Source organism: Homo sapiens, chromosome 4, assembly GCF_000001405.40.
Source record: "Homo sapiens chromosome 4, GRCh38.p14 Primary Assembly".
Classification (NCBI taxonomy): Eukaryota; Metazoa; Chordata; class Mammalia; order Primates; family Hominidae; genus Homo; species Homo sapiens.
Genome location: NC_000004.12, coordinates 174,509,522 through 174,522,538, shown reverse-complemented (window position 1 = coordinate 174,522,538; position 13,017 = coordinate 174,509,522). Strand labels below are relative to the sequence as shown.

General features: G+C 36.9%; 1 protein-coding gene across 8 annotated transcripts in view, besides 1 other annotated feature; it reads left to right on the top strand.

Moving 5' to 3' along the window:
* The window catches only part of HPGD (15-hydroxyprostaglandin dehydrogenase), a 32,719-nt gene that overhangs the window by 355 nt on the left and 19,347 nt on the right, over nucleotides 1–13,017 (top strand). For 5 of the 8 annotated variants that reach the window (XR_938728.3, NM_001256305.2, NM_001145816.3 and 2 more), the window contains exons 1-3: nucleotides 51–180; nucleotides 472–595; nucleotides 4,462–4,568. Coding sequence is in view for 5 of the 8 variants with exons in the window: in NM_001256305.2 (NP_001243234.1) it covers nucleotides 88–180; nucleotides 472–595; nucleotides 4,462–4,568 (324 nt within the window). In the remaining 3 variants the exon portion in view is untranslated. Of the gene's footprint in view, nucleotides 1–50; nucleotides 181–471; nucleotides 596–4,461; nucleotides 4,569–13,017 lie in introns of those variants that run through there. The other 3 variants (NM_001256306.2, NM_001256307.2, NM_001256301.1) reach the window with 2 other exon arrangements.
* Nucleotides 2,712–3,241: an enhancer, noted in NCBI's record as "NANOG hESC enhancer chr4:175440449-175440978 (GRCh37/hg19 assembly coordinates)". NCBI's record gives its function as "activates a minimal SCP1, AML or CMV promoter by ChIP-STARR-seq in naive H9 embryonic stem cells {active_cell/tissue: H9 hESC(naive)}" and the evidence as "EXISTENCE:reporter gene assay evidence [ECO:0000049][PMID:30033119]".

Below are 13,017 nucleotides of genomic sequence, written 5' to 3'. Positions count from 1 at the left end.
ACGCGCGCGCGCGCAGGGGGGCATAAAAGCCGCGGCCGCGCGGAGACGCGGAGCTCGCCCACCGCCCGCCCCAGCAGTGGCTGCACCATGCACGTGAACGGCAAAGTGGCGCTGGTGACCGGCGCGGCTCAGGGCATAGGCAGAGCCTTTGCAGAGGCGCTGCTGCTTAAGGGCGCCAAGGTAAGCCCGGCGCCCAGCCGCGGAAATTTCTCTGCCCACACACTCCGAGACTCGCCCCGCCGCCCGAGGTGCACTGGCGGAGACAGGGAGGCCGCGCCCGGCGTGCCCACTTTGCCACTTCCAAAATTTGCTGAAGCTGAGGCTGTGAGCACACCTCAGAAGTGGCTGGGAGGGAACCCAAACCTAATTGCCAAATTTCAGGTCCAGGAGGGGAGCCTCTTGTGTGTTTATTGTTTGTCCGTCTATTTCGTGAGCTGCGCAGGCCCGCGATTCCTCTCCTCTTGTCTATAGGTAGCGCTGGTGGATTGGAATCTTGAAGCAGGTGTACAGTGTAAAGCTGCCCTGGATGAGCAGTTTGAACCTCAGAAGACTCTGTTCATCCAGTGCGATGTGGCTGACCAGCAACAACTGAGAGGTAAGACAGGGGAATCAATCTGTCAACTGGGAACGTGCTCTCAACAAGCAACAACCTGAAGGCAGCCCGGCCAGGGGGCCCTGGGTGCCGCCTCCGCTGCCTCCTCGAGAGCAGCTACCTTGAAGCTCCAAAAGACAGTTTGGACTGATACGTTTCCTTCTGACAGCCCAATAGCTGTAAAACCGAAAGAAAGGCAAGACTGCTGGAGAAATCCTTTTATTGTAGTCATTTGGCAGCATTAATGTAATCAAAATTCCTTTATGTATTCAAAGACAGTGCTGCTGCAGTAATTATTAAATGATTGAAATTGCAGACAAAACTTGGAAAATTAAAGTAGGTTAAGTAAGGTACTGTTGACAAACAACTTCTCCCAGAAAGCTGGAGTCCAATGACAATCAAATGTGGCAGTGTTTTTCGTTTAAACATATCAGAATACAAGTTCAAGGAGCATCATCACAGAAGTGCTAGATGCTTTTGACCATATGTTTTCTCCGGCTTTTTCCCCAATGAGACAGTACTTTAAAATAATAATAATAGTAATCATAATAAAGTATACAATGTTAGAATTGTAGTAGAAACATCTCTATCAGCCTTTCCTCAATGCTTTCCTGTTTCCGGCTACTCACTTAAAATAGACCAATCTACTTGTGAAGTATCAGGGACAATATTGGCATACACAATAAACAGCTTTGATTATAAAGCTGTTTTTTTTTTTTTTGTACATCTATTGGAGAACTTGAGAGTGCCCCAATAAACTTACAGGAAACAAAAATTCTGGAGAAAAACTAGAAAAGTAAAATATTTGTATTTCACAAAGTTTTATTCAAAGAGACTGAGTAAATTGTAAGGCACTTTTTAATCAAGGGGTCTGAAAACTTTTGCAAATCTTATTCCAGTGCTCCTGTTCTTAAAGGGACATCAAATGTACATTTATTTTAAAATTTTAAAATATTCTGTAAGAGAATGAAAATGAACTGACGTGTTAGAAGGAAGTGGTGTACCAACAGTTAAGAGAAATTGTAAAGGAAATTACATAACTGAAATCTGAAAATGCTAATAAAGACCTATAACACAGATGACAAGCATGAGCAGAACAGATTTGTAAACACAATGCAAGAGGAACATATTGTACCAGAGGACAATTATGTTGATTGCACATGATATTTTGGATCAAGGATAGAGCCAGGTCAGATCTCAACATTCATGCTGATGGCATAAGGAACAGTATAAACAATCTGAAAGCCATTTCTGTCTCAATTTATATAGTTTCATAAATGACATTTAACTACAATTGTTTTTTTCCCAGTATTTAAAATTAATACCTTGGCTATAAACTCATTCCTTAAGGATAAATGATTGTGGAGGAGGAAAAATACTCAGACACATAAGTGACCCGGGAAGGCATGTTGGTCATGAGAAATCCACATGTTGTCTGGACATGAGCATTTGCTTGCATCTAAAGGAAACATGACATTGATTCTTCCAGTTTCAGGATTTAATGTTGCCTATAACTTTTAAAATTGTTTAGACAGTGTGGAAATTATAAAAATATGAGATGAAAAGTTTCTTGGAGATAATCTAAACATAACTTATTTTCCAAATGAACAAATCACAGCCAAGAGAGTTTAGGTAAGTTACAAAGAGTACCATAGCATATAAATGTCAGCAAGAGGTAGACTGTCTGTTGCTTGAGCCTGGAATTCAATGGGATGTCAGAAAACAAGATGGTATACTATACATTGGTAAGGGCAGAGTATAAGGAATACGGTGGAGAACAGAATGAGGAAAGAAAATTAAAGCGGCAATTAGACATACATATTTAACACCCTCATTTTCCAAAAGGTGAAGGTTGTTTCTGTGGAGTTATGAAGAGTTAGAACATACTCAGAATGGAAGGAGAAAAAAAAAATACTGGGGGACATTTTCTGGACCCAATTTGAGATTTTAAGAAACATTTTTAAGATTCCATGAAAAAAGGCCGGGTGCAGTGGCTTCACGCTTGTAATCCCAGCAGTTTGGGAGGCCGAGGCGGGCGGATCACGAGGTCAGGAGATCGAGACTTTCACTCGCGTCTGTGTGAAGAGACCACCAAACAGGCTTTGTGTGAGCAACAAGGCTGTTTATTTCACCTGGGTGCAGGCTGGCTGAGTCGGAAAAGAGAGTCAGCAAAGGGAAATAGGGGTGGGGCTATTTTATAAGATTTGGGTAGGTAAAGGAAAAAGGGGGGTTGCCCGCTGGTGGGCAGCAGTGGGGGTCACAAGGTGCTCAGTGGTGGAGCTTTTTGAGCCAGGATGAGCCAGGAGATGGAATTTCACAAGGTAATGTCATCAGTTAAGGCAAGGACCGGCCATTTTCACTTCTTTTGTGGTGGAATGTCATCAGTTAAGGCAGGAACAGGCCATTTAAGTATCACTACTTTTGTGATTCTTCAGTTACTTCAGGCCATGTGGATGTATATGTGCAGGTCACAGGGGATATAATGGCTTAGCTTGGGCTCAGAGGCCTGACAGAGATCATCCTGGCTAACACGGTGAAACCCCGTCTCTACTAAAAATACAAAAAATTAGCCGGGCGTGGTGGTGGGCGCCTGTAGTCCCAGCTACTCTGGAGGCTGAGGCAGGAGAATGGCGTGAACCCGGGAGGTGGAGCTTGCAGTGAGCTGAGATCAGGCCACTGCACTCCAGCCTGGGGGACAGAACGAGGCTCCGACTCAAAAAAAAAAAAATCCATGAAAAATAAACAGTTTGTGTTTGTTGTTCTTCCATTCCCGTACAGTGAGTGTAAAAGGTACATATTAGGAAATCTTGAAAATGTTTTTAGTAAACAACTAGCATAGTAATTTATCTATATGGCAACTGATTAATCCATGTCTTCCCCAATATGTCTGGTGGTTGTTAATGATTATATGAATTTATTTCAATCAAAATAAAGCTTATGCTGACCTACTTTTTTTAAGGACTTGATATGTTGGTCTGGACACCTGAGAATATATTTCCGTCATGTAGAAAAACAACCACAATTTTTATCCATAGTGTAAAATAATAGAAGTAGAATGAATGATCAAAGGCCCGGGGAAACAGTTTAAATCAATTAGAACTCTGTCAAAGGCTGCTTTGAGAAACAATAGACATGTGATTGGACAGTGTAATGAAAGACATTCAGGCCTCAGAATCCATGCCAACTTTATCCTGTTTGAACATAGTTTTATACAAACTAGTAATCCTAGTAATCTGAAGTAGTAATAATAGTGAGAAAGAAGAAGGAAATAGTAAACATCGAAGTTTCAGTAATCAAATAAAATCAACTGAATGAAAAGTAGACTTTTACTAAGATATAAAAACTCCCCCAAACATGCATAATAGATCTGAATACACAAGAATATTTGTATTAACATAACACTTTATGAATTTAATATGGCTTATGGAAAAGGATGTTTACCAATAGTCTAAGCTACAGAGCTTCAGTAGCTTCTCAGGGACTAAGAGACATTGCTTGCTCTAACTGACTTCAACGAGCTCTTAGCTTAGGATCTTAGCTCAGTTCTCTAAAATGTACCCCATTAAGTTACTGCTTATAGAACTTCAATGTGCATACAAATCATGTAAGAATATGTTAAAGTTAAGATTCTTATTCAGTTAGTCTGTGGTGTCTGCAAAATTCTGCATTCTTACCAAGCTGCCAGATTGATGCTTCTAGTCCACAAACCACACATTGAGAAACAAGGAATTAATTACACTCAGCCCATGAGTTTAGTAACTTTCACTATGAGGGTAAATAAACTGAAATTCCTCTCATGGCATAGGACATGATTTAAATGTATACATGGAAAATAAGAATGTATCACTAATATCTTGTTTTATAATTAGACACTTTTAGAAAAGTTGTAGACCACTTTGGAAGACTGGACATTTTGGTCAATAATGCTGGAGTGAATAATGAGAAAAACTGGGAAAAAACTCTGCAAATTAATTTGGTGAGTTATCTTAGCTATATTTCTTGTCTATAATTATTTAATAACATGATGTTTGTAAAGAAAAAAAGGTTCTTGGAGTCATGGAAACAAAACAATGACCTACAATATTGAAAAAGGGAAGTTACAGAAAGCTGGATAAAAGCATTTTCTTTTATAAAAAGGAAGACATTTAATTATGAAAGTAAGTCTATCTTAAAATATTAGAAAGAAGCATGAATAAAATATAAATGATTGCTTAACTCAGGGATTGGCAGACTATGACCCACAGGCCAAAATAGCCTGCCAACTCTTTTGGTATGACCTGCAAGCTAAAAATACCATTTTACATTTCTAAATGGTGGATAAATTCAAAAGAAGAATAATATGATTATATGAAATTCAACTTTCAGTGTCCATAAAGTTTTATTGGAACACAGCCACAGTCATTCATTTAAGAATTGTCATTGGCTATTTTCATGCTACAGGGGCAAAGTTTAATATTTGTAAAAGATCCTGTGGCATTCAATGACTAAAATATTTACAATCTGGCCCTTTACAGAAAAAGCTCGTCAACCGCTGACTTATTTATTTAAAAGTAAATCTTAATTAAATGCTAGAATGTAACAGAAAACAAAATTAAAGTGACAATCGAACTTTGTAATTAGTAGGACTTTTTATCCTGAAAGTTCGTGGTTCGTGTGTGTGTGTGATTTCCATAATGTTTGATAATGACTTAGCTCTTAAAAATGGTAGAATTAAGAAATAAAATTTTCTCTTTTATCCATTAAGTCATGAGTTTATGGGTTACCTCATTCTATAAATACCCTTGACATAAGATATTGGAGTTTAGTAAAAATCAAACGTTAACTAAAACTAAATGTCAAATAGGCTGTGCCTGGGGTCTCCCTGACCTTGCTAAGGTCATTCTCACCAATCTTACAAGGCAGGTAATTGTAGAGTACAATTTGGCCACTGTGTATGTATAAAGGTACAGGGAGTGACCTCCTACTTCATGATATCCTCCTAGTAGATTATAAACTCCATAAAAACAAGAACTGGGTTGTGTTTTTCTTTGTCTCTCTCTCAGTAATCAACATAATATCTTGAAGATAGTGCTTAGTCAATACATTTTTTACTTAAATTGAAATGCCCATGAGTAATTACCTAACTGCTATAATAACTTGATAGAGGCAATGAGGATGACACTTCTTCACAAAAGAGCCAAATCTGTAAGTCCTACCTTGAGAAGAGTACAAAATTGCTCCCTAAACTTGACAGATAACTAAAATACAGTTTTCTTTTAGTTTTTTAAATTTTTCAATTATTTTTGTTGGCTTTTCTTTTCCAACTTTTATTTTAGGTTCAGGGTGTACATGTGCAGATTTGTTACCTGAGTAAATCGTGTGTCACTGGGGTTTGGTGTACAGATGATTTCATCACCCAGATAGTGGTCATAGCAACCCATAGATAGTTTTCCCACTCTCACCCTTCTCCCACCCTTCATCCTCAAGTAGACCTTGGGGACTATTGTTCCCCTTTGTATCCATATGTGCTTAATGTTTTGTTCCTGTTTGTAAGTGAGAACATGAGGTATTTGATTTTCTGTTCCTGCATTAATTTGCTTAGGATAATGCTCTCCAGCTGCATCCATGTTGCTGCAACCAACATGATTTCCTTTTTTATGGGTGTGTGGTGTTTCATGCTGTATACCTACCCGTATTCTTTATCCAGTCCCCCGTTGATGGGCATCTAGGTTGATTCCGTCTTTGCTATTGTGAATAGTGTTGCGATGACCCTATTAGTGCTGTGTCTTTCTTGGTAGAATGATTTATGTTCCTTTGGGTATATACCCAGTAATGGGGTTGCTGGGTTGAATGGTAGTTCTGTTTTAAGTTCTTCGAGAAAAGCTCCAAAATGCTTTCCATGGTGTCTGACTAGTTTACTTTCTTACCAGCAGCATATAAGTGTTCCCTTTTCTCTACAGCCTCGCCAAGCCAACATCCATTATTTATTTATTTTTTACTTCTTAATGATAGCCATTCTGATCGCTGTGAAATTGTATTTCATTGTGGTTCTGATTTGCATTTCTCTGATGATTAGTGATATTGAGCATTTTTTATGTTTGTTGGCCATGTGTCTGTCCTCTTCTGAGAAGTATTCACAGAAGTCTCTTTATGTCCTTTGCCCTTTTTTTAATGGGGTTGTTTGGTTTTTGCTTGTTGATTTGCTCAAGTTCCTTATATAATCTGTATATTAGACCTTTGTCAGATCCATAGTTTGCAAATATTTTCTCCAGTTCTGTAGGTTATCTGCTTACTGCTTTGATAGTTTCTTTTGCTGTGCAGAAGCTCTTTAGTTTAATTAGGTCCCATCTATTTTTGGTTTTGTTGCAATTGCTTTTGGAGACTTCATCATGAGATCTTTGCCATGGCATGTCTTCAGAATGGGGTGCTTTGTGTTTTCTTCTAGAATTTGTATAGTTTTAGGTTTTACATATGGTGTAAGGAAGGGGTCCAGTTTCAATCTTCTGCATATGGCTACCTGGTTATCCCAGCACAATTTATTGAATAGTGCATCCTTTCCCCATGCTCGTTTTTGTCAATTTTGTCAAAGATCAGATGATTGTAGGTGTACAGCCTTATTTCTGGCTTCTCCATGCTGTTCCATTGGTCTATATATCTGTTTTTGTACCAGTACCGTGCTGTTTGGGTTACTGTAGCCTTGTATAGTTTGAAGTCGAATAGTGTGATGCCTCCAGCTTTGTTCATTTTACTTAGAATTGCTTTGACTATTCTGACTCTTTTTGGATTCCATATGAATTTGAAAATTGTTTTTTTTAATTCTGTGGAAATGATGATGGTAGTTTGATAGGAATAGCATTGAATCTGTAAATTGCTTTGAGCAGTATGGCCATTTTAACAATATTGATTCTTCCTATCCATGAACATGGAATGTGTTTTCATTTAATAATGACATCTCTGATTCCTTTCAGTAGTGTTTTACAATTCTCATTGTAGAGATCTTTCACCTTGCTGGTGAGCTGTATTCATAGGTATTTTATTCTTTTTGTGGTTGTTGTAAATGGGATTGCATTCTTGATTTGCCTCTTAGCTTGGACATTATTGGTGTTTGGAAACATTACTGATTTTTGTACATTGGTTATGTATCCTGAAACGTAACTTAAATTGTTTATCAGTTCTAGGAAACTTTGGGCAGAGACTATGGTGTTTTCTATGTATAGAATCATACCGTTTGCAAAAAAAGATAGTTTGACTTCCTCTCTTCTTATTTAGATGCCCTTTATTCCTTTCTCTTGCCAGATTGCTCTGGCTTGGATTTCCAGTACTATGTTGAATATGAGTGGTGAGAGTGGGTATCCTTGTCTTGTTTCAGCTCTCAAGGCGAATGCTTCCAGCTTTTTCCCACTCAGTAAGATGTTTGCTTTATGTTACTTCGATGCCTATGTTGTTGAGGATTTTTTAACATGAAAAGATGTTGAATTTTACCTAAAATCTTTTAATTAAGAAGGAAGGTTCTATTTTACAGTATGGATACCCTCCTTGCAGTTCTTTTAAAACTTTTTCTCCAGTGTACCTCTTTCATTATATTTGAAAATAACTTGAAACTGTCAAGCTTCCCTCAAAATCTTTTTGGGATTCTAATTGCAAATATACATACATGTGTTTGGAGAGACCTGATAGCTGATTTTCCTGAGTTGAGACAGTTCTGTGATCTTCTTCTACTTTAGGGTAGAAATGTATTGAAATGAGATATTCTGTCTGTGAATCATACTTACATCTCTTGGCTAAATCTTCCATTATTATGATATATGAATGTTTAATATACCATTGAATTTTTTTAATTCCTAATTTAGTATTTGTGCTTCTGTACTTATAAATTGTACTATCCTTAATTTTCTTTTCTTATAATGTTCTTATTTGGTTTGGGTGTCATCTATATCCTGGCTTCCTTTTATGTCCTTGATCTGTTCATTTCTCAACAGAGGCATTCTTATCTCAAATGGCAAATGGCAGTCTGCCTACCTCTTTTAGTAATTCTGTAAGTTTAGACTCTATATATTATAAATCTATAATATTCAGAGCATAAGTTGCTAATGATTGCAATTTATTGATTTTTAAATTTTTTTTAAAGTTAAACTTCTGATTTGCTGTCTGATGATTTTTTAATCTATTCTATATTTTCAGATATAAAATTAGTACCCTATCATTTTCTTTGGATTCACATTCACCTACCTTTTTCCATTACTTTATTTTAAAAATATAAGCAACCTTTTATGTTAAATTTGTTGTTGCTGATGGTTTATTGTGAGATCTTAGAATCCTCTAATCTGTAGTTAGACACAACTGGGAACATCTGCCTTTTTAATATTTGTGAGTTTAAGCCATTTATTTTTACTCTTCCGTTTTATACTTTAATATTTACTGTTTTCTTTTTGTTTTTATTCTTTTTCTATTCCTTCCCTAAATGCATTATATAGCTTTAATTTTCTTATGCTGGTAAAAAAAAAAAATATGCATTTTATATTTACTCTTTGGAGGATACCCCTGACTTATTAAGAGTTGTATTTCATTACATCTTTTGGTAGCCTGATAAAACAAAAATTTTGAAAATATGGCTAATTGGGAACTGCAAGGATTTTTAAGAATATAGACTCATGCCACTTTCCAAAACCACATTAAATGACGAGATTTTCTTTGAACCAGGCTATCCCAGTGAAAAAGCACAAATTGCACAACAGCTTTCTCTCTTTAACATTACTACTGATATTTGTAATAGCTTCATCGGTAATATCTACAGATATTTTTACAGATAAAATTAATAGAGTATATAGTTCCTGTATTTGGTGACTTCCTAATGGACACTTGCTGTGTCTTTTCTCTGAAAAATCAGCTGTCAGAAACAGTGTGCAATGATTACAGCTAACGTAAAGAAACATGGAAATATTGAGGCAAATATTACGAAGTTACAGAATTCGACTGATGTCTTCATCCAGCTGAGAGGGCATGTTTGCTTTAATGTAGCCTGTGTGAATACCTGCTCTGAGCTGGAAAGTGCCAATATCATGGGCAAATAGGAAATTCTGGAAGACCAGGGGAATTTTATTGTGATCCTTTAGTTATAACTAACAGGCCTAGTTCCTTCTCCATTGAAATTTATCCAGCCTTTATTTTTCTTGGGACTCTGCTGACATAGGCCACTTTTCAGCTTCACATCAGGAACTGATGATATATGTTTACATAAAGAAAACACCATGGAACCTTTGTTACCAATGTATTACTTAAAAATATGTTACTTCCCCTCCTACCTAAACCCGTTGCAAGAGTAGAATCTGACCAATAATTTAACTTCCAACTTGATTATCTCTGTTACTGTAATGCAAATATTTGTGTGTAGTTTATATAACTCTTTTTTGAAACTCTGCTCTGGATTTAATTTGCCTCCTTGGGTCTTATACAATTCCATGTTTGTTCTTTTGCATGTTTTTCTGTATTACTGCTCATGTCAGAGAGTAACCTCTTAAAAGACTTTACCATATATCTCTCCTTCTTCTAAAATATTATACAACATATTTATACCATTTTCATAGGGCTTACCAGTTTTTTAATTTTATTAGAATTATTTAAATATATACATAATTCATGCTATTCATGCTAGTAAACCACAAGTTCTTTCAAGGCAGAAAACTATTGTCTTGTGTCCTTACAGATGTTAGTTAATAGTTACTGGGTCACCTGCCATTACCTGTATATGATATTTTGCATACATGAGAGTATTCACTTCTATGTCTCAGTACATTGCTTTCCAAATACATTAGTTCTTCCAAACGGTATCATCTGTCCTTCTACTTTTACTCCTTATCAAATTTACTCCTTACTTTTCACTTTGCTGATCTCATCCTTCTTCCCACTAAACCTTTTCCCAGTCTTTGGTTTCCATTAGGCTATTTTATACTTCCTCCTTAGTCTGAAGCCAACAACAGCAGCATTATGTATTGCTGTTCAGAACACAGAAGAAATGTTCAGCAGGCCGGGAGCGGTGACTCACGCCTGTAATCCCAGCACTTTGGGAGACCGAGGCGGGCGGATCACAAGGTCAGGAGATTGAGACCATCCTGGCTAACACGATGAAACCCCGTCTCTACTAAAAATACAAAAATTTAGCCGGGCGTGGTGGCGGACGCCTGTAGTCCCAGTTATTCAGGAGGCTGAGGCAGGCGAATGGCGTGAACCCGGGAGGCGGAGCTTGCAGTGAGCCGAGATTGCGCCACTGCACTCCAGCCTGGGCGACAGAGCGAGACTCTGTCTCAAAAACAAAATAAAATTAAAAAAAAGAAATGTTCAGGAAAGAATGAGTCTTTGCAAAACTATCAACACTCATGCTGGCAATTGGGCAGAGGTAAACTTAACTTTGAATATTGATTGGAATGGTAATTCTGTCATGTAGTTTTGTAACTTTCTGAAGTTTCTGTAAACCTAAATATGTTCATCCCCACTGATGTGGAACTTACAGTCTAATTTTGACATTTAACTAATATATGTTGAATTCCTTAACCCATTTATGCCAGAGGTTGCAATATTTTGAATTTTTGCATGAGTTAAAAATTAGACCTTGGCAATGACCTTGAACAGTAGGATATAAATAACTCTCACGTGCTTAGTATTCCAATAATGGAACACTAGGCATAAGTGGGTCAATATATTCAAATAAGATTTAAACAAAATAAATGAATGTTGCTAGTCATTTTTTTTTTTTTTCTGAAATGCACTTATTGACTAAAGATTTGCCCTGGGAAATACATTTCTTTGGGATTAGTCAAAATTAGAATCCAGTCTTGACTCTATAATTTATAAACTGTTATTTTATTTCTCTCATATTGAGCTTCCCAGGGAGGAAGGTAAACTCCCTATCTCTAAGGACTGTTACGCTTAAATAAACCATAGTTTATGTGAATATCCAGCACAGTGCCACTGCATAGAATTTATTCAATAAATTACACTTCCCTTCCAGAGCATCAAAATCTACATTTTCTGGCCAGGCACGGTGGCTCAGGCCTGTAATCCCAGCACTTTGGGAGGCTGAGGTGGGCGGATTAGTTGAGGTCAGGAGTTCGAGACCAGCCTGGCCAACATGGTGAAATATATAATATATAGACACACGTGCACATGCGTATATAATCTAGAATAAGGACTACGTTGTTATAGTAAAGGAGGAAAAGTGAAAAATGTCATTTCTACACAGCCAAAGCATTAGACCCTGTCTTGTAGATTCATCCTTTGAACTCTTTCATTTGAAAAATTACCCAGTTCTTAACCTGATAATGGATGAGAAAAATAATCCCTTGCCTTTCTCCACCAAAGACCTAAAGATAAATATTGCTTTTCTAAAAAATTAAAAATAAATCTTAAAAAATCTCAAATTTTCTATCTGGCTTCATCTTGTTCATGTCGAAAACACAACAGTGGGGTGTCAGCAAAGCTGTAATACCTGAGAATAAAAGCGTAGTGCCAATACGCATGAACAGAAATTCTGTTCAGACATGCTGAAGCCTTCTGCAGAAACTAACAGAATCCAACTGGCTTCATTAATTTCAGCCATCTACATCTTTTTCTTCTTATATAAACAATTAATGTTTTGGTTTTCCTTTCTAAAGAAAATCATGTGGAGATTTTATTCATTCTCCCTAAGCCTACTTACTGTCAAATTGACACATGGCTTAAGTGAATAGAACCTCCAATTTCCTTTTTTGTTCAAGAGCTACTGTTAGGTAGGAGAAGTATATCTGAATCCTTGCAAAAAAAAGAAAACTTCAAAAGGAAATTTTTAAGAGAAAAAGAAGGTAAGTACATGTGTAACCTCCGTTTCAGACGCATTACCTATTGTATCGTTTTCTTTGCAGTATTGTAAAGCATGAAAAAAATAGGAATTAAGATGTCAAAAAAGAATTTTCCTTTTTTAAAAGTCTGAGCTGGAAGGGATAGGAATTCTTAAATCCAAAAGGAAAAGTAAGGTTTGAAATATCAATTTGATCACACAGGTTTTTTTTTTTCTTTTTTTTTTTTGGTAGTGATTTGAACAAAAACAGGAAAAGTGCCTACACATGGATATAAGTGGCAAAACAGTCAACTATCAAAAGGATAGCTGTAAGCAGTGATTAATAAAATTTAGTTATAGACATTACTAAAGACCAGATGTCCAGCTAACTGACAATCACCACTTAAACTGGATAAAACATTTATGTGATTTCACACAACACGGAGTTGAGGATTGCTTGATCTTACAGGTCAATGATATCATCGGGCCCAGGGTTGTGTCATCCCTCCCACCGACCATTCTTTATGTTGGTTTCATCTTCAGGATACTAGGAAATAGGGGTTGTCCATTTAAGTTACGACATTCATATAAAGCAGGCAATGTAACCATTTCTTCAGGTTTTCTTAAGAGCAACAAA